Source organism: Homo sapiens, chromosome 7 (genome assembly GCF_000001405.40).
Source record: "Homo sapiens chromosome 7, GRCh38.p14 Primary Assembly".
In the NCBI taxonomy this organism is placed as follows: domain Eukaryota; kingdom Metazoa; phylum Chordata; class Mammalia; order Primates; family Hominidae; genus Homo; species Homo sapiens.
Genome location: NC_000007.14, coordinates 1,458,433 through 1,480,194, shown reverse-complemented (window position 1 = coordinate 1,480,194; position 21,762 = coordinate 1,458,433). Strand labels below are relative to the sequence as shown.

The window sequence follows — 21,762 nt, the reverse complement described above, 5'->3', positions numbered from 1 at the left end:
CACGCACAGCGGCCTTTACACGCGTGACCGCCTGACCCTGGCACGCTGCTTTCACGTAACACCCCCATGCTCTCAGATGGAGGCTAGGCCAACATTGGGGAAGGGGGTCGCCCTGCATCCTCCCTGCCATCCTTGCACACCCCTCTGCGCGGGGCACCCGGTTTGATGTGTACAGAAGCTGAGGTTGCAGGTCTCGCCTGAGGTCTGGCTGTTGGAGCCGGGGATCCTGCAGGCCTCACCACCTCCTGATGGAGAGCCTGGTGGTCCCTGGGCAGGCTCTGGACACCTTTGTTCTCTGGGGCAGCTCCTGGGTGTTGGGGTCCCTCACTGCTTCACATCACAGGTCTCAAGGGCCCTGGGCCCCTCAGGCCACAAGGTGGGGGCTACGAATGAACAGGGACACGATGGGACGCGGTTCTGGCACGGAGCTGCACCGGGCGCTTAGCCTCTCCGCTGCGCTCCTCCTCCTTCTCCTCCGCTTCCTCCTGACACTGGCCTTCCCCGTTCCAGATTTTCCCGCTCAGCCCGGACCCTCGGTGGCAGAGCTCCAGTCCCCGCCCCGTGGCCCTCGCCCTGCAGCAGGCCCTGGGCCAGGAGCTGGCCCGCGTCGTCCAGGGCAGCCCCGAGGTGCCGGGCATCACGGTGCGTGTCCTGCAGGCCCTCGCCACCCTGCTCAGCTCCCCACACGGCGGTGCCCTGGTGATGTCCATGCACCGTAGCCACTTCCTGGCCTGCCCGCTGCTGCGCCAGCTCTGCCAGTACCAGGTACTTGGGCGTGGGCCTCTTGCGGGGGAGGAGGGCAGTGAGGGCTCTGCCTCCCGCAGGACGGCCCGGGTGTCCTGTGACTGCTCCTCTGTGGGTCTTGGGTCTCAGTTTCCAAGTGAGAAAGGACAGTGCCCCAGGGAGTGGCGGCAGGTCCCCTTTTTCCAGTGAACATTCCCCCGGGACGGGAGGTGGGGGCAGTGCGGCGTCCGCCTGTTTGCACCACCCAGGCTCGGCGCTCCTGCCTTGCTTTCCCCATCTGCTGGTACCTAGGACTGTGTTTTACTTGGTGTCTGTGTTTACTTTTTCCTTTGAACCGCGTGGGAGCCCTCACCAGCTGGGGGGTTTTGAAAGGGTCTCTGTGAGGTCGTCTGGGCCCGTGCAGGGGAGGCACCGTTTCAGACAGGAGGCGGGATGAGGTTGGCCCAGGCTCCAAGTGCCGGTCGCGGCAGGTCTCAGCAGCCTCACGGGCCCTGCTCTGGGCCTCGGGTGCCGGGTCCCCGTGTGTCCTCTGCCAGGGTAGCCACGTGCCACTTTGTCCCCGCAGCGCTGTGTGCCACAGGACACCGGCTTCTCCTCGCTCTTCCTGAAGGTGCTCCTGCAGATGCTGCAGTGGCTGGACAGCCCTGGCGTGGAGGGCGGGCCCCTGCGGGCACAGCTCAGGATGCTTGCCAGCCAGGCCTCAGCCGGGCGCAGGCTCAGTGATGGTGAGGACCGCGCCGGGCTGGCAGACGGCTGGGGGGCACTGGACAGGGGCTCACTCAGAGTGGCCAAGCTGCCTGGCACCCCGAGGCCTGGGCAGTGGCTTGGGGGGTGGGTACCCGCGTGGGCCCAGGGGAGCCCTTCTACCGTGGGGCCTCCCTGGATGGGATACACCGATGGGGTGAGGGCTGGAGCCACAGGGCACTCACACAGACCTCCCACAGTGCGAGGGGGGCTCCTGCGCCTGGCCGAGGCCCTGGCCTTCCGTCAGGACCTGGAGGTGGTCAGCTCCACCGTCCGTGCCGTCATCGCCACCCTGAGGTCTGGGGAGCAGTGCAGCGTGGAGCCGGACCTGATCAGCAAAGGTACCTTCCTGGCACCATCCTCTTGGGCCACGGCGGCCCTGGGAAGACCCAAACCTGAGGCTCCTTCTAGCTGCCCAGTGGGGGACGGACAGTGTCTGCTCAGCACTGTCCCCGGAAAGTGCCCACAGAGGTCCCCTCCCAGATGGCTCAGGGCGGGGCCTCTTGAGAATGAGTTGGAGCTTCCTCCTTGGGGGGCCCCTGATCACTGCTGCACCCAGCAAAGTGAGCCCCGGCCCCGGCCGCACTCTCCAGCCCCGGCCGCACTCTCCTCTCCGGCCCCGGCTGCACTCTCCTCTCTGGCTCCGGCTGGACTCTGCTCTTGTGTCCCACACATGCTCACCCCACACCCCACCCTGGCTAGCCCACACCCACTCAGCGGCCCCCACCCGACCTGGGAGTGACCCACATGTCTCTTTGTCCCTTGCGCAGTCCTCCAGGGGCTGATCGAGGTGAGGTCCCCCCACCTGGAGGAGCTGCTGACTGCATTCTTCTCTGCCACTGCGGATGCTGCCTCCCCGTTTCCAGCCTGTAAGCCCGTTGTGGTGGTGAGCTCCCTGCTGCTGCAGGAGGAGGAGCCCCTGGCTGGGGGGAAGCCGGGTGCGGACGGTGGCAGGTGAGCTGGGGTGCTGCACACGGCCAGGGTGGGCAGGCGGGTGGCACCAGCCCTTCCCTGAGCCACCTTCTCCCTGCAGCCTGGAGGCCGTGCGGCTGGGGCCCTCGTCAGGCCTCCTAGTGGACTGGCTGGAAATGCTGGACCCCGAGGTGGTCAGCAGCTGCCCCGACCTGCAGCTCAGGCTGCTCTTCTCCCGGAGGAAGGTGGGTGGCACCCAGCTTCAGCACGGGGACCCACCCCAGGGTAAAGGCTCTTCCTGACCTGAAGTGCAGCAGCCTTGGCCTGGGCGAGCCTTGCAGGGGCCCCAGCACCCCCCCTGCTCTCAGGCCATGTGTCCCTGTAGCAACCCAGAGGAAGGGTAGGTCCCCCAATGGCCCTAGCAGAACCCAGGCCAGGGTCACAGTCACCTGTGGACCAGCACTGTGACCAGCCAGATGTGGGGATGGGGTGGGTGGATGGGGTGGGGTCGGCCCTGCCAAACCCTGTAGATCATGTAGGGGCCTCCATCTTCCCAAAGGGAATGGGGCTGTGGCCAGGAGAAGGGAGGGCAGGTGCTGGGCTCCCCACATCCTCCAGGGAGGGACGGCCTCACCAGAGAGGCTGCATGGAGCCCCGGGCACCTCCGCTGTGTGGCATGGCTCCCGTGGGAAGGGGCGGGGAGATGCAGCGCAGCCACCAGGAGCGGCCCTCCAGCACCATGACGGGGCCGGTGTTACCGGCAGCACCCCAAGCCTCGGCTCTCTGAGTGGCTCATTGGGGAAGCTGTCAGCTGACTTCAGCAGAGCCTGCCATTGGCCCAGGTGAGGCCATCCGGGCTTCTTCCTCCCTCCCCAGGGCAAAGGTCAGGCCCAGGTGCCCTCGTTCCGTCCCTACCTCCTGACCCTCTTCACGCATCAGTCCAGCTGGCCCACACTGCACCAGTGCATCCGAGTCCTGCTGGGCAAGAGCCGGGAACAGAGGTGGGCGCCTCCCTGTCCCCAACCTGGGCTGCGCGCATACTGGCCTTCACCAGAAATCTCCCAGCGCCGGCTCTGACTGGTATCTCCCATGCTGAGACGAGACACCTCGTGCTCTGGAACCTTTGCCTCCCCACAGGTTCGACCCCTCTGCCTCTCTGGACTTCCTCTGGGCCTGCATCCATGTTCCTCGCATCTGGCAGGGGCGGGACCAGCGCACCCCGCAGGCAGGTCTTGGGAGGGTGGCCCATCCGGGAGAGGGGGTGGCCCATCCGGGAGAGGGGGTGGCCCATCCGGGAGAGGCGGTGGTGCTCCGGGGCTGATGCAGGCACCCGTTACAGAAGCGGCGGGAGGAGCTGGTGCTGCGGGTCCAGGGCCCGGAGCTCATCAGCCTGGTGGAGCTGATCCTGGCCGAGGCGGAGACGCGGAGCCAGGACGGGGACACAGCCGCCTGCAGCCTCATCCAGGCCCGGCTGCCCCTGCTGCTCAGCTGCTGCTGTGGGGACGATGAGAGTGTCAGGAAGGTGACGGAGCACCTGTCAGGCTGCATCCAGCAGTGGGGAGACAGGTGCTCAGGCCCCCCGGCCCCAGATGCTGCCTGGGAGTGAGCCATGGAGGGGGTCGAGGCCCAGCCCTGGGTGGGTTCCCATCACGCCTGGTCCCGTCCACCCACCCCTGTCACTGGGGCCCCGTCCGCCTGGTGAGCCCTGCTCCACCTCTTCCAGCGTGCTGGGCAGGCGCTGCCGAGACCTTCTCCTGCAGCTCTACCTACAGCGGCCGGAGCTGCGGGTGCCCGTGCCTGAGGTCCTACTGCACAGCGAAGGGGCTGCCAGCAGCAGCGTCTGCAAGGTGAGGGCGCAACTCTGCCGCTCCCCGCCGCCGTCCCAGGTGCCCTGGCCGGGCAGGGAGGGAGGGCGGAGGCCACAGTGTACATGGCCATCGCCGGCTACCCCTCTTGCCCCTTCCCAGTCCGCGCCGCCCTGTGGCCCTGTGGGTTTGTCTGCGTTGAGTTTTATACCGAGGGAGCTTGCGGGTGCTCTGCTCGCACAGTCTGGAGAGTCGTGGTGTTGTGGGCACTGGGTGGCCTGCCATTGTGTGGATCGGCCGTTGGTTTATCTGTTCACCTGCTGGTGGACGTGGGGTCACGTTCAGTTTGGGGCAGTGACAGCTGCTGGGGACTCGTGCCCGGGTCTTGGCGGACGGCTGCGTCTGCTCCTCTCCAGTGACCCTGGTGGGGAGAGCTGGGCCTCCCGTACCCGCTTCCCCACCGCAGGCCGGAACCTGCAGCCTGTCTTCTGCTGGTACCACAGAGGGCAGCTGACTTTCTCTAATCATTTCTGCTTGTGGTTTTTTTCACTTATATGTCATTTTATTTGTTGAAATCACACTTGATGTGCAGTTTTGTGGAGGGTTTTTGAGGCAGGGTGTCTGTTGCCAAGGCTGGAGTGCAGCGGTACCATCATAGCTCACTGCAGCCTCAACCCCCTGTGCTCAAGTGAGCCTCCCACCTCAGCCTCCCGAGTAGCTGGGATCACAGGCACGTGCCACCACACCCAGTTACTCTTTTTGTATTTTTGAAAATAGAGAGGGCTATTTTCATTGCCCAGGCTAGTCTTGAACTCCTGGGCTCTGGTGATCTTCTGCCGCGGCCTCACAGAGTGCTGGGATGGCAGGCGTGAGCCACTGCGCCTGCTTGGCCGATGTGTAGTTTTGGCTTGTTTCCCGCTCATTGTATCATTTGGTGTGGAGCTTTGCTTTTATTCTGTATGGGGTTTTCCCAGAGGCTGGCTGTGGCCTGCCTGCCCTCCCGAGGTGCTCATGGAAGCCGTAAGGAGCCAGTTCCTCTGCTCATGGCGTGCCACGCGGTGGATCACGGCCACAGCTGGCGGCCAGGCTGAGTGTGGGTGGGCAAGTGAGGGGAGCCAGCGGCCCCGGCCTCAGAGCGCCCCTCCCTGCAGCTGGACGGACTCATCCACCGCTTCATCACGCTCCTTGCGGACACCAGCGACTCCCGGGCGTTGGAGAACCGAGGGGCGGATGCCAGCATGGCCTGCCGGAAGCTGGCGGTGGCGCACCCGCTGCTGCTGCTCAGGTGCTGTCCCAGAAGCCCTGCCCTCGCCAGACACTGGTTTAACCAGGGGGGTCTGCGGCTCTCCAGCCTGGGCAACAAGAGCAAAACTCCAAAAACAACAAAAAAAAGCATGTTCCCATGGGCTGAGCTTGACCGGGGGAAGTCAGGACTGAGCTGGGCCTCAGGTGGGAGGAGCTGGGTGGGCCTCAGAGAGGGGCGATCTCATCCCCACCTCCTTAGGGCAGGAGGGTGGTTGGGGGGCAGCACGGGGTCTGGCTCCCGGGGCAGGCAGTGGGGCCTTCCTGGGGACGTGCGCCAGGTGAGCCCGCCGGCCGGGGCTGACTGGGCCCTCACCGCGCCCGCAGGCACCTGCCCATGATCGCGGCGCTCCTGCACGGCCGCACCCACCTCAACTTCCAGGAGTTCCGGCAGCAGAACCACCTGAGCTGCTTCCTGCACGTGCTGGGCCTGCTGGAGCTGCTGCAGCCGCACGTGTTCCGCAGCGAGCACCAGGGGGCGCTGTGGGACTGCCTTCTGTCCTTCATCCGCCTGCTGCTGGTGTGTGCTCCCGCCGCCCGCCCTCGCGCTCCCTTCCACTCCCTCTGCTCTGGCCCAGGCCTGCCTCACCCACTCGCGGAGGGACTGGGAGGACCTCTGCAGCCAGGGCCCAGGCCAGGCCACCTGCCCTGGGGACCAGCTCCCACCCTGGGAAGCCCCTGCCTGCTGCCCCTCACGTGCCTGGGGGGCCCACGTCCTTCAGAAGCCCAGCCCAGACCCTCCGTGCTGTTCTCTGCGTGTCGCTTGTGCTACCTCGAGCCCCTCATCCATCTGGGCACATGCCCCAGACAGCCATGTCCACACCCTGACAGGCCATGCCGGCCACCCTTGGGCCTGTGACGCCCCAGTGGTTGGCAGAGGGGGCTCGTTGGCTGTGGGGTCCATGCCCTGAGGCTCTGGGAGCAGATGGGAGCACAGGCTCTGTTTTGGCCCTGCGGGGCAGAGCAGCTCGAGGGTGCCGCTTTTGCTTTGCAGAATTACAGGAAGTCCTCCCGCCATCTGGCTGCCTTCATCAACAAGTTTGTGCAGTTCATCCATAAGTACATTACCTACAATGCCCCAGCAGCCATCTCCTTCCTGCAGAAGCACGCCGACCCGCTCCAGTGAGTGCCCACGGGCTGCAGGGAAGCCTCGGGCCTCCGGCGAGGGTCCAGCGGGGTCTGGAGGGTGTTCCTGGGAAGGCCGTGTCGTGTCAGATATGCTGCTCCTGAGGCCGGGGAGGGCTGCTGAGCGTGGTGCTCATCCCAGGGCGCAGAGGCCGCCCCACCCTGTGCCGAAGCCGTCTGAACCCACCCCTGCAGCTCTCTGGCTCTCTGTCCCGTTCCACGCACATGTGGCTTCCCCGCCCGGCCCTCCCTCTGAGCGTCCTGGCCTCTCCTGCATGCCTGTGTCCACACGCTCCCATGCCACCCTAGTTTGACCCCTGACCCAGCCTTCCTCCTGCCAGCGTCTTCCTCCCAGGTGAAAGCATCTTCTCTCCCCAGCGACCTGTCCTTCGACAACAGTGACCTGGTGATGCTGAAATCCCTCCTTGCAGGGCTCAGCCTGCCCAGCAGGGACGACAGGACCGACCGAGGCCTGGACGAAGAGGGCGAGGGTGAGTGGGGCTGCCAGGGGCTGCTGGAAGCAGCTGCGGAACAGTCCTACAGGGCCTGGTTTTCCCAGCGCACAGCCAGCCCTGGGCCGTCCGAGGCGTCCCGATGGGGGCTGTGTGAGCCTGGGACCTTGCTGGCTGGCCCCTGACCCACCTCAAGGGGACGAAGCACTGACTGGTGCCTGACAGAGCATCAGCACACCTGCCCCCCGGCACATCGCCCCGCCCCGGCAAATGGCCCTCCCCACCCCCCCGTCCCTGGCACATCCACCATCCACCAGTGCTTGTCCGAGGTGTCCCTCCCCAGGAAGCCTCCCCTGGTCCTACTGGGCAAGGCTTGTCCTTGGTTTTTCCCTGCCTGAGGTGACACGGCACCGCAGCACGTCTCTCCTGTGCCGCCGGAAGAGCGCCAGGCCCGGGTCCCAAGGGGCCATCCCGTCTTGTGCCCAGTGGGTCCTGGCCCACATTGCGAGAAACCCAGCAGGGAGAGACTCGCAGAGGTGCATGCGCCGGATCCAAAGGCAGCTCCCGGCTCCTGGCTCCACCCCATTTGTGGAGCGCTGCTGTGTGCAGGCACCTTGGGAGCCTGGGCAGTGGCCGCCGTGCTCTCGGGAGGGCAGGTCCTGGTGCCTCAGTGTGGCACGTCCTGCCGCTCCCGCCCTCCTGCAGCACTGCCACTGTCTTCCAGAGGAGAGCTCAGCCGGCTCCTTGCCCCTGGTCAGCGTCTCCCTGTTCACCCCTCTGACCGCGGCCGAGATGGCCCCCTACATGAAACGGCTTTCCCGGGGCCAAACGGTGGAGGGTGAGTCAGGCCCTGCTTCACCCACGCCAGGTCAGCGCCCTGGGTCCCATGGGGCTGCGGGCAGCAGCCAGTAGCCATTTGGGCACTGACTTTGGCGTGAGCCTGGCCCACGCTGGGCTGTGGGTGGGTGGGCTGTTCCTCACAGTGGGGAGCACCCCCAGAGAGGGCCTTAGAAACTCAGGGGCCCAGGGGAGCTGGAGGTGGCTGCTCTGCTTCAGGCACAGCAAAAAGCAGGGGAGCCCCCTAAGGTGGTGGGGGTACAGCAGGAAGAGGTCAGGCGGGTGGGCAAGACCAGCGGGTGGGCAGTACCGGTGGCCGCTGTCAGAGGACAGCCAAGGCTGAGCGGCCCGGATGGAGTCGGGCCGTGGGGACACTTGGTGCTAAGAGCACCCTGGATATGGGGCTGCCGTGAGGGGTCAACCCCTCTCCTTGGAGGCCACTAGTAGGGGCAGGGCCGGGTATTTGTGGAGCTTGGGGGCAGGTGACTGCCTGGGGCGTCACTGGGCTCATGCTTTCCAGTGCTTTCTGTCCTGTGGTGCTCGGGGCCTTGCCCCCTCTGGGTGGCTGGGGTGGGGTGGGCAGAGGTCTGCCTGGGCCCTTCAGTTCTGGTCTGGCCCTCTCTCTGTGTCAGATCTGCTGGAGGTTCTGAGTGACATAGACGAGATGTCCCGGCGGAGACCCGAGATCCTGAGCTTCTTCTCGGTGAGCTGGATGGGGCTGAGGGAGAGCTGGGAGGAGCCACTCCCTTGGGGAACCCCAGCAGGGCCACCACCCCAACATGGCGTGCCCGCGCTGAGCCCCAGGGAGTCCTCTGAGGCTGGGCTTCGGGTGGGGGCCCCAGCCCAGGTGTTCACAGTCAAGCCGCCGCCAGAGCAGGCCTGCCTTCAGCCCCGGGCTGGGACCGGCCAGTGGCACGTGCGTCCTGCCTTCTGGATAGGGGCCTAGGGTCCCTGCCGTTGCCGCCAACCATCACGAGACCAAGAGGTGAAGGGGCCTTGATGGGGGCTGGACCCCTTGGTCACACACCTCCCACCTTTCCCCCGGTCAGACCAACCTGCAGCGGCTGATGAGCTCGGCCGAGGAGTGTTGCCGCAACCTCGCCTTCAGCCTGGCCCTGCGCTCCATGCAGAACAGCCCCAGGTGAGGCCACCGCCGGCCTCTGTCCCGCCGCCACCGCTGGGCCCTGCTAACCCAGGTCACCGCTTGACCCGCCTGGTGGCCAGACCAGGCTTCCAGGCGGCTCAGCTCGCCCTGTCGGGTGGGGGTCTGGCGTGGGCACAGGGTGGAGGTTCCCACTGAAGTGTGTGGGTCTTTCAGCATTGCAGCCGCTTTCCTGCCCACGTTCATGTACTGCCTGGGCAGCCAGGACTTTGAGGTGGTGCAGACGGCCCTCCGGAACCTGCCTGAGTACGCTCTCCTGTGCCAAGGTGAGGACTGGCCCCCCGCCCAGGGCCCTGGCAGCCCTCGGGGAGGCCGGAGGTGCGTCCCCCGAGGGCTGGCTCTTGGGAGTCCCGAGGTCTGGTCACTGCGGCCAGGATGTTGTGGCCAGCGTGACGTGCAGGGCCCCGTTTCCCCCACAGAGCACGCGGCTGTGCTGCTCCACCGGGCCTTCCTGGTGGGCATGTACGGCCAGATGGACCCCAGCGCGCAGATCTCCGAGGCCCTGAGGATCCTGCATATGGAGGCCGTGATGTGAGCCTGTGGCAGCCGACCCCCCTCCAAGCCCCGGCCCGTCCCGTCCCCGGGGATCCTCGAGGCAAAGCCCAGGAAGCGTGGGCGTTGCTGGTCTGTCCGAGGAGGTGAGGGCGCCGAGCCCTGAGGCCAGGCAGGCCCAGGAGCAATACTCCGAGCCCTGGGGTGGCTCCGGGCCGGCCGCTGGCATCAGGGGCCGTCCAGCAAGCCCTCATTCACCTTCTGGGCCACAGCCCTGCCGCGGAGCGGCGGATCCCCCCGGGCATGGCCTGGGCTGGTTTTGAATGAAACGACCTGAACTGTCTGTGTGCTCTCTGGTGTCCCATGTCGCCCTCTGGCCAGTGAGAGCCTCAAGGACCCTGGCCTTGGCTTCCCAGCCCCACAGTGCAGGGAGTTGAGCAGGGTCCGGGGTGGTGGAGACCAGGGCCAGGCTGGGCTCTCCCTTGGGCCAGCAGTTCCCGCAGGTGTTGAGGGTCGGGGGATGCTGCCCACTTGGCCGCCCCCGCCCCACGTCATGGTCTCCCTGTCGAGTGCCGGCCCTGGGCCCTGCCGGGCCTCAAGTCCTCTGCCCACGGGGTCGGCCTCTGTTGAGTGAGTCCGGCCTTGTCAGGCTGCGTGGGGGACTGGCCCAGCTGACTGGTCTCTCTCTCCTGCACTAAAAGGATCAACAAGGCCCTGAGAGCCTCAACTGTGGGCGTCCCTCTGTGGGAGCTGAGTTGGGGTCCCATTCCAGAAGAGTCCGAGTAGCCGGTGGTGCTGCTCGTCCTGCCTTTGCAGGCACCAGCTCCCAGGGGAGGGTCTGGGAGGGTCCTAGTGCATGCGGGGCGGAGCTTGGCATGGGGCCCTGTTTGCTGGCCCGCAGTGCACTCTCCTCCCTCCCAGCCAGGTTGGGGTTAGAGCCGCCCACCCCTCTGTCCTCGCTGCACCGGGGTCTTTCCAGCACACAGATGGGACCCGTGCTCTCCCGGTTCCCCATGAGTGCTCCCAGGTCAGCCAGGCCCCGGCTGCCCTCCACCCCAGCCGCTGTGGCTAAGAAGCTGACCCAGGCCCTCCTGCAAGCCCAGGTGGCGCGAGGCCTCAAGGTTCTAGTGATGCTGTGGCCTTGGGGGATGCCCCGCAACAGCACCCAGCAAGGGGGCAGCTGGGCTCCAGGCCCACAGCCTCCCAGCCCAGCCCCTGGCCTGCACACCTGCACCACCTGCCCGGGCCCCTGGGCACTCCTGCACCCGCCTGCCCACCCTCGGATTCTTCCAGGCTGCACAGGGCCGGGGACCAGGTCCCGGGTGGGGTGAGCCAGTGCCGGGTCTGTCACCAGGCGTGCCTGTCCACAGCTGGCTCCTGTGGCTCCGGGGGACTGGGAGGCTGCTCTGGGAGTGACTTGGAGGCCCATGGGCCGCTGAGCCGCCTCCATCCCAGCTGTGCGCGGCCGCCCTCCCCCACCCTTGCCCTTAGTGCGTTGCCTTCAGGCCCTTGGTGCGGGCACCTCTGCCCTGGGTCTGAATGTGTGTTAGGGTTAGGGACAGGGACAGCAGTGAGGAGGCCTAACAGGCCGGGGTGTGGGGTGAGGCCCTTCCTGCTCTGTGGTTGGCTCTCCTACCTCTGCGCGGATAAGGGGCAGGGCCGAGATTTGAGCCCTGGGGCCCTGGAGCCATGGGCTGCCCCAGGGTGGGGCTGGGCTGAGTGGAAGCAGGGCCCAAGGTTTGTGCAGTGGGAAAGGGCCCTGGAGGCTCAGCAGATGCAGGGCAGGGATGTGGATGCCTCCCCAGCCCCCAGGGGTGGGGCGTGGATGCAGGGAGGCATCCTCATACGGGGTGGGTGTGTGCAGGCTGTGCCGGCTCAGGGATCAACGTCAGGGCCCGTGTCCATCCGAGTCTTAGAGGACAGAAGCGTGCTAGGGCTTGGCGGGGACATGACCCGATCTCATCTGAGACCGAGTGAGCACGGGCCCACCAAGCCCTCCGGCCCCAGTGCCTGCTGTATGCCCCACACCCAAACCCCAGCCTCCTGAGGGCCAGGCTGCCTCTCCCGGGCCTGGATGTGGGGCCTTTGCCAGTCCACACCTTCGGGATCCCGACCCTTCTCCCCAGGTGCAACACCCCAGCTGTGTCGCCGCGTCCCCTCCAGCCAGGAGCCACCCTTACCCGATGTTACACCCTCTGTGGGCTCCTGGGGAACCTCCTCCAGGTTGGCTTTCCACACCCCACAGTCCGGAGCCTGCTGCAGCCTCGCCAGCCTCTGGTCCTCTGCTCTCCTGACATCACTCCAGCCAGGCTGCGGGGTGGGGGTCCTTCCAGCCGAGGCCTGCCCGCCTCAGGGTCTGATCAGGGAGGGAGGGAGGTCCGAGCTCTGTGGGCCCAGAATCCAGTGCCTGGGTTGAGGACAGGGAAAGGGAAGGACACTGCTGCCAGGCCCGGAGGCCAGTCCGTGTGTCCCAGCTGGGTGCAAGCCTGGGCCCTTCATGGGGGTGCGTGTATCTGGCTCAGAGCAGCCTGTGACAGGTAGAGCCCCAGGACGTTGGCTGGGGTCGTGGACCAGGCATGGGGAAGGAGGATGGGGAGGGTGCTGAGGGCAGGGCCCTGATCCTGGGGCCTGGGACCCTCTGGGCCTCTTGCTGCCTGGGCCTGTGTTCACTCCCGCCCAGGAGGCAGCAGAGGTTAAGCTAAGCAGAGGCATCCGGGGGAAGTAGCTGGCCTGGCGGGTGGCAAGGGCTCAGGTGAGGGGTATCGGCTCTGGTGTGTGTGCCAATTGGGGCCAGGATGTGCCAGGCGTGCCTGAGACCCCACCCACCCACCCCAGGGTGATGATCCCAGGGCCCGGGGCCTTGGTGGCTCACAATTACGACACCCGTGGGGCAAACAGTCTCTGCCTGGCCCAGGGCCTTAGGGCTGACAATTGTGGCACCCGTGGGGCAAACTTAGCCTCTACCTGGCCAAGGGCTTCCATAACCTCTAGAGGGTGTCCCAGGCCTGTCCCCACCATAAGGGGAGCCCCAGGGGGCATGTCTGGCCTTGGCTGCCGGGGTGGACCCCAGGTTCTGTGTCCCAGAGGTGAGAGGCCTCTGCGATCTGTGCTGGGAAAGATGGGGAAGACGCCTGAGAGGGAAACTTGACTGCGCCTGGACAGAGAAATGGGTAGACTGGAATCTGTGCCTGCGGCGGGCACCTGGCAGGGGCCGGTGTGAGCAGAAGTGTGGGTGTTGGAATGACGGTGCCGACCCCAGGTTGGACAGGGGGCTGCGAAATGGACCAGGGAGCCCTGGGTCAGGCCACGATCCACGCCTGGCCTCTCCCTCCCTCCGGCTCCCCAAGTTCCTCACCACGGCCACTGGGCCCAGGGACCCTGGGAACCAGCCGTGTGGGGCACCCAGCAGGACCCCTGTGCCACTGGGTGGCTGCTGGCAGGTCCCGGGCCGTCTGTTCTGGAACAGTGGAGGATCTGGGATCAGCACCTTCCTGTGTGGCTGTGGCTGTGAGCCCCTCGCCCAGGGTGACCACTAGAGCCCAGGACTCAGAGGGTCCAGCCCAGACTCCACAGTTCCCTTCCTTTCAGGAGTGGAGGGAGGCCCAGGAGTATGTCTGAGCCAGGCCAGGCAGGGTCCCAGCCCCTCCCAGTGGTTCCCGGCAGTCCCGGGCTGCCTTCTCCAGGCGGGGACGGGGCGGGGCCGGGGGATGCCATAGTGACAAGCTCACTTGCTGCTTCAGTCTCAAAACAAGTGCTTCTGGGTTTCATTTTCAGCTCTGGCTGGGGATGGACCCTGACCTTCAAACAGGCCAGACGGTGGCAGCCACAGGCTGAGTGTGGGCACCTGGGGCCTGAGCGCCCTCGGCAGCAGGAGTGCAGGTCTCCCCATGAGGTGTCTCCCCCATTCACCCCGGGAAGCCCAGACAGTGGCCCGAGGTCATGTGGCAGGTAGGGTGCAGGGCAGGAGCTGCTTGGGGGGCCTGGGCCTCCCCCAGCTCCCTTCCTCAGAGCAACCCAGACCCCTGACCCAATTAGGCCCAGGCCCAGCCAGCGGTTGGGGTCATTCCAGGTGCTTCTGAAGAGAAGGGTATGGCTGAAGCCTCCTCTGGGGACAGCAGCCCCTCTGTCCTGGGAAGTGGCCTGTAGGAAGCTGAGCATGGGCAGGCAGAACTGGACGTCCCAGTTCTTTCCAAACCCCCTCACTGGGCCAGGCCCAAAAGGACACCCCATGGCGGGCCCTGCTGGGCTCACGGGGGACTCAGGGTTGGACCCCAGTAGGCCTCCGCCAGGGTGTGGTGGGCACCCTCTCTGTGGAAGTTAGGAAGGGCTGTTGAGGGAAGGTGGCATGGCGGGCTGGGTCTTGAGCGGTGGGGAGGAGTTGGGCCCATCCACTTGTAGCGGGGCACAGGGCTCTGGCTGACCACCAGCAGGGCAGGCGGAGGGAAGGGTCCGGCGCCCTCTTTTCCCACTGGTGTCCTCCTGCTGTGAAGCCAGGCCTGTAGGAGCCTGCAAGCCTCGGGGGGCACAGGGGACAGGCCTGACACACAGAGGGCTCCTCGGGCACTCATCCTATAGTAGGGAGACGGGCCCTGGGAGGGGAGGGAGCCAGGAGGCAGCCATGCGCCCTCCCTAAGATGGAAAACGCAGGGGCCTGGTGAGGGCGGTGCTGACCACAGTGCTCTGCACACCAGGCTACTGCTGGCGCCCCAGCTCCGGGGAACATAGAGTCCTTGGGGACACAGGGCCCAGGGGCCTCCAGAGCTGGGATACGGTGGAGGGGCTGCTGGATCCCAAACACCCTTTAGGCCTCCTTCATCCCTAGTCAGCATTCCAGCCAGGACCCCGGGGGCCCCATCCAGAGTCCTGTCAGCGGGGGCCATAGCCTGTGGCTGCAGGCCTGGGCAGGTGGGTGACACGAGGCAGGACCGACCCCAGGGTTCTAACGCCTGCTCCCCACTGGCCTTGGACAAATCGCTGCCCTTTTCTGAGCTTGATTCCTCACCTGTGAAGTGGGCATCAAGGTAATGCCTGAGGCCGGGTGCGGTGGCTCACGCCTGTAATCCCAGCACTTTGGGAGGCCGAGGTGGGCAGATCAGCTGAAGTCAGGAGTTCGAGACCAGCCTGGCCAACATGGCAAAACCCCGTCTCTACTAAAAATGCACTGGGCATGGTGGTGCGCGCCTGTAATCCCAGCTACTCGGATGCTGAGGTGGGAGAATCACTTGAACCCGAGAGGCGGAGGCTGCAGTGAGCCGAGATCACTGAGATAGCACCACTGCGCTTCAGCCTGGGTGAGAGCAAGACTTCATCTCAGAAAATAAAAACAAGGCTGGGTGCGGTGGCTCACACCTGTAATCCCAGCACTTTGGGAGACCGAGGCGGGTGGATCAGCTGAGGTCAGGAGTTTGAGACCAGCCTGGCCAACATAGTGAAACCCCGTCTCTACTAAAAATACAAAAATCAGCTGGGTGTGGTGGTGCATGCCTATAATCCCAGCTACTTGGGAGGCTGAGGCAGGAGAATCCTTTGAAACCCGGGAGGCAGAGGTTGCGATGAGCCAAGATCACGCCACTGCACTCCAGCCTCAGCGACAGAGTGAGACTCCGTCTCAAAAAAATAAAAAACAAAAAACTGCCTGAGACTTGGGGGCAGTGAACAACCTGTGTGACACACAGTAGGTGCTGAGGGCCAGGCATCTGCACTGTTCTCTTTCTCCTCTGAACAGAGAGGTGCCATGATCTGGCCAAGGACACACAGCAATCAGAGGCAGGCTGGCTTCTCTGCCCCGGTCCCGCCACCCGGCGACACCTGTCAGCCCCCTTGCAAACTCTGTGCTCCTTGAAGGTGGGGGGGGGGGGGAGGGCGGGGTGGGTCTGGACCCCGTTACAAGGGATTCCTATAAATGGCGTGGAGAGGATTAATAATGTATTTATAACACATTTTGGTGGTAGTCGAAAATGATCTATAAATGTGCAGTAAATGTTTTATAATGTTTTTGTAACCCGTTATAAATGATAAATGGCAGACCATAGATGCCGGATCAAATATTTATAACGCACTGTGCGCGGCGTTGGGCTGCTACAGTTCAGCAAAGCCATTAATAATAAAGTGGATGGAAATGCACGAGTTACCGACATGCCTAGCAAAGCCATTTATAATGAAATGTAAAATTTGGCTGTGGGAAGCAGCCCACCAGCCCCAGCCGCAGCACCGGCCAGGATCTCCTGGAGGCTGGGGAAGGAGCGGTGTCGTGAATTATTTGTGAGGTGTTCAGACGAGAATGTATACTCCCCATAGCACACCATATAAATATGCTATTAATATACCCAAGGTGGCATGCATTATTCATGGAGCCTAATTAATTAATGGGTGGCCCCTTAAAATGGGGTGTCACAGCTTCCAGCTCCCTGTCCTGCCGGGGGCAGTAGGGATGGCATTGGTTGATGGCAGCCTTGGGGGTGGGGAGGGCAACGTCCCTTCCACGCTCTGCAGGGGGGCTGACGTGGTGCCCCACAACCGTCCACAGGGGTCCTGTGGGCAAGTCAGTTTGGGAACCACTGTGCAGTGTGTCCTCTCCCTGGAAGAGTGGAGGTGCGTATCAGGTGATGAAGGCTCTGAGAAGTCCCGCGGGAAACACCACTCGGCCAGGACACCTCCCTTGGTTCTCTCTCACGCCCTCTGCATTCCCGAACCGCCTCCGCCTCCCAGACTCAAGGATCCGATTCTGTTCCAGCTTGGCCCAGCAGCCTTGGTCAGGTGACGTTCAGGGTTGAATCCACTGGTGGAAGGAGTCAACCCCTCATAAGCCTGCCCCACCCCTCCGGGTGTGGCACCTGGGTCCCCACCTCTGCAGCGCCTCTTGGGGACCCAGGAGCTAAGCTAATGCAAGCCAAGGTGGATGTTTTGGACTGAAATGAGCGATGCCTCAGGCCATGTCCTCCCTGGGTCCCCAGCACGGGCCCTGCCACCCTGATGGGCTGAGAGACCCCTTTCTCCCTGCCTCCATCATCTTTGAGGGGTTCAGAACACGTGGAGGCTGGAAGTGGGGAAACAGGTCATCTGGCCTGGAAGTCCTGTCCTGGACCAGGGTGTACACTTGGGTAGGACACCAGCTGGGCCGACCTTCTCCCGGGCCTCACCTGGTGTCAGAGTCAGGGCCGCTGCCTGAGAGGGCAGGCTGAAACGGGGGGCCTTCTCCCCTCCCTCCTCCCCTCCTGTCTCCTCCCCTCCCTCCAGTCTCCTCCTTTCCTCTCAGAACCTCAGTTTTTTGAGGTGCAGAATCAATAGAGCCATTTATTTTGTAGATCATAAACAGGGTCTTGTTTTGTCACCCGGGCTGGCGTGCAGTGACATGATCACAGCTCATTGCAGGCTCGACCTCTCAGCCTCCATCAATCCTCCTGCCTCAGCCTCCTGGATAGGTGGGAGTACAGGTGTACACCACCACACTCGACTAACATTTTTGTATTTTTTGTAGAGGTGGGGTCTTGCTATGTTTTCCAGGCTGGTCTTGAACTCCTAGCCTCAAGCAAACCTCCCACTTCAGCCTCCCAAAGTGTTGGGATGACTGGCATGATCCCCTGCACCCAGCCAATCTTGGGTTTTAAACCCACAGCCAACCCACACCCATATATGTATGTGTACACACACACACATTAATGTCTCTGTCACCCAGTCTGGAGTGCACTGGTGTGATCACAGCTCACTGCAGCCTTCTGTTCTCATGTGATCTCCCGCCTCAGCCTCCTGAGTAGCTGGGACTACAAGCATGAGCCACAACACCTGGCCCAGAGCCACTTTTTTTTTGGGTGGCGAGCGGCAGGGTGGGGAGAGTCTTGCTGTGTCACCCAGGCTGGAGTGTAGTGGTGTGATCTCAGCTCACTGCAACCTCCACCTCCCGGATTCAAGCGATTCTCCTGCCTCAGCCTTGCAGGTAGCTGGGACTACAGGCATGTGCCACCATGCCCGGCTAATTTGGTATTTTTAGTAGAGACGGGGTTTCACCATGTTGGCCAGGCCGGTCTCAAACTCCTGACCTTGGGTGATCGTCTCAACTCAGCCTCCCAAAATGCTGGAATTACAGGCATGAGCCACCACCCCTGGCCCAGAGCCACTTTTAAAGGGTGGCTGTAAGTATCAAATGACAATGTAGGCATGGAAATTGGTGGGAGAAGTTGGAGTAGGGGCCTAGCCGGGCCCTGCTGCCTGCACCCCTTCCTCCCGCAGCCCCTGCACCTCCTCCCAGTCCCCTGCACCAGCGACACCAGCCTATCTTCGAGTCTTCCTTCCTGCCGCAGGGCCTTTACAACTCCTGTTCCCTTTGCCCTTTCCCCTTCCTCTCCAACAAAGTGATTCCTACTTAGCTTAGCCTCCAGGTCTCAGTTCTCGTGGTCCTTCCTAGGGAGGTTCTTGCTCTATCTTCTGTCTCCCTCTCTTCTCCTCTTTCTTTCTCCCCTCTCTTTCTCTCTCTGTCTCTTTCTCCCCTTTTTCTCTCTCTCTGTTAGTCCCAGGCTGAGGTCATCATCATTTCTAAAGGGCCTGAAGTCTGGGCCCCCATCTGAGTCCCCATCCTGGGGCCTGTTGAGCTCACACCGCTCTTACCTGTTCCCCACCCCTGGGTACATCATGCTGCATTTATTGCGTGCCTGGGTGGGTACATCATGCTGCATTTACTGCGTGCCTGGCCGTGGGGTAGCCCTTGGTGGAAGGGGACCATGATGTCACTTTGCAGATGAGGAAACTGAGCCCGAGAGAAGGCAGTTTCCCAGTGAGGCCAGAAGGCAGCGGGTTCCCCGGGTGGAGGCTCTGTGTTGGACGGGGGAGGCGTGTGCAGAGTCCACATGGCAGCCCTGGGGAGCACAGATGGGGACCCTGGGAGCCTTCGGTGGCTCCAAGGGGCTTCAGGGTGGGGGTCTTGGAGGATGAGGAGGAGGGGCGGGTGCTGGGGGCCGGTGCGGGCGCAAAGCTCTGGGGTCAGCGTGGCAGGGTGCGGCCGGGGAGATGCAGCGTGATAAGCCTGCGGAAAGTCTGATAAGCAACCTGGACTTTATTCGAAGGACAGCCTGGGAGGCTCCCGGCAGGGGAAGGGCTTGGTCAGGCCTTCTAGAAAGATCCCTCGGGCTGCTGGGGAGGGTGGACTGTGGTGGCTGGAGGGGCAGGAGGCAGCCCTGTGGGCAGAGGCGGGGGGACAGGTCGTCTGGATGGGAGGGTGGCAGCCGTGGGCAGTGGGGAGAAAGGACCATTTGTTTGGGGGTGTCCTGGCTCCTGGCTTCGGGGACCCTGGAGGGACATGGTGTGTGAGGTGCTGGTGGGCAAACGTCACAAATGCTGCCTCCCAGCTCACTGGTGCCAGAGGGGGGCCGCGCAGGATGGGCCACGGGGTGACCAGTGAGATGGCTTTTTAAGTGTGCAGTGGTAAAAGTTCACGATAAAAGTGAAACCCAGGCCACCTCCCACACCACTCCTTTTAAGGGAGCTGGGCCCTAACGCCTGTCCACCCCTGTGTCCCCCATCCCCCACTAATTCCCCCCGCCCACTGCCCCGCTGCTTCTGCTTCTTGATCTCTCCCTTCTTTTCCAGCTCTTCCGGTTCTCCTAACCGTTGCCCTGGGAGTCAAGAAAACCCGGTGCCAGGACCGGCTCCGGCTGTGCTGGCACGATATCCCCTGACATCCGCAGGTCAGGGACTGTGGCGGAGCAGCGGTTAGGGCCAGCCACATTCCCAGGCCACAAGGGCTCCCTGCCTAGCAGCTGCTTGCATGCCCCTGGTGACGGGGAGCTCACCACCTACACACAGGCCTCACTGACACTTAGGCAGCTGGCCATGAACACTACGGTGTCTCACCAGGGACCAGCCTCAGAAAAGATCTGGAACAGCACCATTGGCTGGGGTTGGAAGACCTCAGTTTCTCCTCCTCCCAAGGGGCACAGAGAAGCTGCCCTGACTCCCTGCCAGGGGCTACTGCGGGAAAACACCTTCCTTCCTGCAGGCCCTGCCCAGACAAGCCCTGGCCCCACAGCCAGGAGGGTAGGCCCCCCTCACATGGCTGGTGTCAGTGATTCCGCCCTCGTCCAGCCCCCGTGGCCACAGACAAGGTTCCCCAAGGATAACGGGGCCAGGGGCCAGTCTGGGATAATTTAGGGCCCCAGCAGAGGGACTTTCCTTATTTCTTCTGTCACAGCTCAAAGTGGAAAATTGGAACTACCCTGCAAGTCAGCCTGAGGAATCTCCTGCCCCAGGAACAGATCCTGCCCACAGGCCCCCAGAAGAAAAGCACAGGCCAGCTGTGCAACTCCGGCTCCACGGCCCCCTTCCTGGCCTCAGTTTCTCCTCTGGCAATGCCCAGGCCTCACCTCTGCCTTGCCTGGAACCCCCGCTGGCATGTAGCGGCCTGGAAAGAGAAACCAGATGCGGACGTCCTTTGAAACCCTGAAACACAAGGCGCCTCCTGCTCCCCGGGAGGCCGGGCTGCCGAGGGCTGAGGCCCTAGACAGGGCAGGGTGTTCGAGCCTCAGTGTCCCCGTTTGTCAACGGCCTTTCCTGCCTCTTCTCCATGGCGGTGGGGTGAGATGGTGGTGGGAGGTGGGGCGGCGAAAAAGAAAATTCCAGGTCTCCGCAGGGGTCCAGAATGGCAGGACCCCCAAGCAGACCGCGCCCCTTCACCGGTTGGGGGTCTCGGCCCTCAGCGGCGGGGCGGGGCCTGGGGAGGGGCCAGGCGGCGTGGGGCGGGGCCTGTCGGGCGGGACCTGACAGCGTGGGGGCGGGACTTACCAGGAGGCGGGACGTGCCTAGGGCGCGAGCCCGTACTGGGGCCGGGCGGCGTGGGGCGGGGCCTCTCGGGAGGCAAAACCTGGAGGCTGGGGGCGGGGCCTGTCCGGAGTCGGGGCCTGCCTGGAGCGGGAGCCTGTGCCGGGGCCAGGAGGCGTGGGAACGGGGCCTATCAGGAGGCAGGACCCGGCGGCTGGGGGCGGGGCCTGTCGGGAGGTGGGGCCTGCCTGGGCGGGAGCCTATGCCGGGGCTGGGAGGTGTGAGGACGGGGCCTATCCGGAGGCAGGACTTGGCGGCTGGGGGCGGGGCCTACAAGGAGGCGGGGCCGGCGGGGGCGGGGCCGGGCTCGGCTTCTCTTAGGGACCCGGCACTCGTCGCCCTCAGTCCGGCTCAGCTGGGGCTGGGCGCCGTGGGTCTGGCGGTTCCGTAGCGGTCCCAGCGTCTGTCCCGCCGGCCGGGCGGTCGCGGCACAGCCGCGGGAAGGTGTCGGAGGGCGGTTCCGCCGCGCGGCGGGCGCGCCGCCCACATGGCGGCCATCAGGGCGCTGCAACAGTGGTGCCGGCAGCAGTGCGAGGGCTACCGCGACGTGAATATCTGCAACATGACCACGTCGTTCCGCGACGGCCTGGCTTTCTGCGCCATCCTGCACCGCCACCGGCCCGACCTCATGTAAGTCCTGCCTGGCGCCCTTTGATTCTTCTGCTGTTCGGCTGCGCGCTGACACGGGCGGGGAAACTGAGGCCCGGGCGGCTGGGGGATGGGGAGCCGAGGCGTGGGACTGGGCAGGCACAGCCCACCGTGCAGCCCCCCGAGGCTGTCCTCAGTGGCCTCAGTGTGCCCGGACACCGAATGCAGCTGGGCCAGAGCCATGGCATCCCCCGCCCGCCGGCTGAGTCAGACGTGACTCAGGGCGGCTCCTGGGCCCTGGCTTCAGTCCAGTCCCCCTCTGTGTCCCTGGGAAAGGCCAGCAGAGCTGCCTCTTTGGGCCCTCCGAGGCTCTCACTGCCCAGGGGCCTGGCCACCAGATGGGGTCCCTGGATAGCCCTCGTATGGGCACTGACCCTCCCCCAGCCTGTTCAGGCCCCTGGGGGGATGTGGCCAGGGCCACTGTGGGGGAGCGGCCAGTGCAGGGCAGGAAGCCCCCAGACCCCAGGTGCTGCTGCCAGCCGGGCCTCTGAGGCCCCGGGTGATAGGGCCCGAGATGGAGAACAGCCCCCATCTCTGGGAGCAGCAGGAGGTGGCAGGGGTTGAGGACTAGGCTGTCTCTCCCCAGGAGGGTCTTGGCGTGTGTAGCTGGGCAGCTGGCCCTGCCCGTTGCTGAATCTTGGCCCGAGCCTGGACCTGCTCCATTGTTTATTCACTCAGCAAACGCTCTTTGGCTAAATGACTGGGACCAGGCTTGCTGGGACAGAGATCTGTG

The 21,762-nt window shown here is 64.3% G+C and overlaps 2 protein-coding genes and 1 long non-coding RNA gene across 6 annotated transcripts in view, besides 9 other annotated features; 2 read left to right on the top strand and 1 right to left on the bottom strand.

The window, feature by feature from the left end:
• INTS1 (integrator complex subunit 1) overlaps window positions 1-9,918 on the top strand; it is a 34,113-nt gene extending 24,195 nt beyond the window's left edge. The window contains exons 31-48 of one of the 2 annotated variants that reach the window (NM_001080453.3): window positions 511-765; window positions 1,310-1,469; window positions 1,689-1,829; window positions 2,259-2,442; window positions 2,522-2,645; window positions 3,277-3,401; window positions 3,538-3,625; window positions 3,740-3,966; window positions 4,124-4,247; window positions 5,357-5,490; window positions 5,835-6,027; window positions 6,502-6,629; window positions 7,011-7,123; window positions 7,809-7,922; window positions 8,554-8,624; window positions 8,971-9,062; window positions 9,240-9,349; window positions 9,503-9,918. In NM_001080453.3, coding sequence (NP_001073922.2) covers window positions 511-765; window positions 1,310-1,469; window positions 1,689-1,829; window positions 2,259-2,442; window positions 2,522-2,645; window positions 3,277-3,401; window positions 3,538-3,625; window positions 3,740-3,966; window positions 4,124-4,247; window positions 5,357-5,490; window positions 5,835-6,027; window positions 6,502-6,629; window positions 7,011-7,123; window positions 7,809-7,922; window positions 8,554-8,624; window positions 8,971-9,062; window positions 9,240-9,349; window positions 9,503-9,618 — 2,499 coding nt within the window. In that variant the 3' untranslated portion in view covers window positions 9,619-9,918. Of the gene's footprint in view, window positions 1-510; window positions 766-1,309; window positions 1,470-1,688; window positions 1,830-2,258; window positions 2,443-2,521; window positions 2,646-3,276; window positions 3,402-3,537; window positions 3,626-3,739; window positions 3,967-4,123; window positions 4,248-5,356; window positions 5,491-5,834; window positions 6,028-6,501; window positions 6,630-7,010; window positions 7,124-7,808; window positions 7,953-8,553; window positions 8,625-8,970; window positions 9,063-9,239; window positions 9,350-9,502 lie in introns of both variants that reach the window. The other variant, XM_011515260.2, reaches the window with a different exon arrangement.
• Window positions 5,695-5,894: a silencer, noted in NCBI's record as "silent region_17853". NCBI's record gives its function as "represses an Ori minimal core promoter by ATAC-STARR-seq in GM12878 lymphoblastoid cells {active_cell/tissue: GM12878}" and the evidence as "EXISTENCE:reporter gene assay evidence [ECO:0000049][PMID:35858748]".
• Window positions 9,669-10,364: an enhancer, noted in NCBI's record as "H3K27ac-H3K4me1 hESC enhancer chr7:1509467-1510162 (GRCh37/hg19 assembly coordinates)". NCBI's record gives its function as "activates a minimal SCP1, AML or CMV promoter by ChIP-STARR-seq in primed H9 embryonic stem cells {active_cell/tissue: H9 hESC(primed)}" and the evidence as "EXISTENCE:reporter gene assay evidence [ECO:0000049][PMID:30033119]".
• Window positions 13,149-13,844: an enhancer, noted in NCBI's record as "H3K27ac-H3K4me1 hESC enhancer chr7:1505987-1506682 (GRCh37/hg19 assembly coordinates)". NCBI's record gives its function as "activates a minimal SCP1, AML or CMV promoter by ChIP-STARR-seq in primed H9 embryonic stem cells {active_cell/tissue: H9 hESC(primed)}" and the evidence as "EXISTENCE:reporter gene assay evidence [ECO:0000049][PMID:30033119]".
• Window positions 13,845-14,540: an enhancer, noted in NCBI's record as "H3K4me1 hESC enhancer chr7:1505291-1505986 (GRCh37/hg19 assembly coordinates)". NCBI's record gives its function as "activates a minimal SCP1, AML or CMV promoter by ChIP-STARR-seq in primed H9 embryonic stem cells {active_cell/tissue: H9 hESC(primed)}" and the evidence as "EXISTENCE:reporter gene assay evidence [ECO:0000049][PMID:30033119]".
• On the bottom strand, window positions 15,609-20,276 carry MICALL2-DT (MICALL2 divergent transcript). Its single transcript, XR_001745046.2, has 2 exons — window positions 19,928-20,276; window positions 15,609-16,353 (listed from the first exon to the last, which is right to left on the bottom strand). It is a non-coding gene; the product is annotated as an MICALL2 divergent transcript (long non-coding RNA).
• Window positions 18,799-19,350: an enhancer, noted in NCBI's record as "H3K4me1 hESC enhancer chr7:1500481-1501032 (GRCh37/hg19 assembly coordinates)". NCBI's record gives its function as "activates a minimal SCP1, AML or CMV promoter by ChIP-STARR-seq in naive and primed H9 embryonic stem cells {active_cell/tissue: H9 hESC(naive and primed)}" and the evidence as "EXISTENCE:reporter gene assay evidence [ECO:0000049][PMID:30033119]".
• Window positions 18,968-19,262: an enhancer, noted in NCBI's record as "tiled region #1985; K562 Activating DNase unmatched - State 1:Tss, and HepG2 Activating DNase matched - State 1:Tss". NCBI's record gives its function as "activates a minimal TATA promoter and a strong SV40 promoter by Sharpr-MPRA in K562 cells, with weaker activity in HepG2 cells {active_cell/tissue: K562 | HepG2}" and the evidence as "EXISTENCE:reporter gene assay evidence [ECO:0000049][PMID:27701403]".
• Window positions 19,351-19,902: an enhancer, noted in NCBI's record as "H3K4me1 hESC enhancer chr7:1499929-1500480 (GRCh37/hg19 assembly coordinates)". NCBI's record gives its function as "activates a minimal SCP1, AML or CMV promoter by ChIP-STARR-seq in naive and primed H9 embryonic stem cells {active_cell/tissue: H9 hESC(naive and primed)}" and the evidence as "EXISTENCE:reporter gene assay evidence [ECO:0000049][PMID:30033119]".
• Window positions 20,233-20,952: a silencer, noted in NCBI's record as "silent region_17852". NCBI's record gives its function as "represses an Ori minimal core promoter by ATAC-STARR-seq in GM12878 lymphoblastoid cells {active_cell/tissue: GM12878}" and the evidence as "EXISTENCE:reporter gene assay evidence [ECO:0000049][PMID:35858748]".
• MICALL2 (MICAL like 2) overlaps window positions 20,725-21,762 on the top strand; it is a 25,112-nt gene continuing 24,074 nt past the window's right edge. For all 3 annotated transcript variants that reach the window (XR_002956487.2, NM_182924.4, XM_047420836.1), the window contains exon 1: window positions 20,725-21,011. Coding sequence is in view for 2 of the 3 variants with exons in the window: in NM_182924.4 (NP_891554.1) it covers window positions 20,869-21,011 (143 nt within the window). In the remaining variant the exon portion in view is untranslated. The remainder of the gene's footprint in view (window positions 21,012-21,762) is intronic.
• Window positions 21,326-21,762: part of an enhancer, noted in NCBI's record as "H3K4me1 hESC enhancer chr7:1497783-1498505 (GRCh37/hg19 assembly coordinates)", that runs on past the window's edge. NCBI's record gives its function as "activates a minimal SCP1, AML or CMV promoter by ChIP-STARR-seq in primed H9 embryonic stem cells {active_cell/tissue: H9 hESC(primed)}" and the evidence as "EXISTENCE:reporter gene assay evidence [ECO:0000049][PMID:30033119]".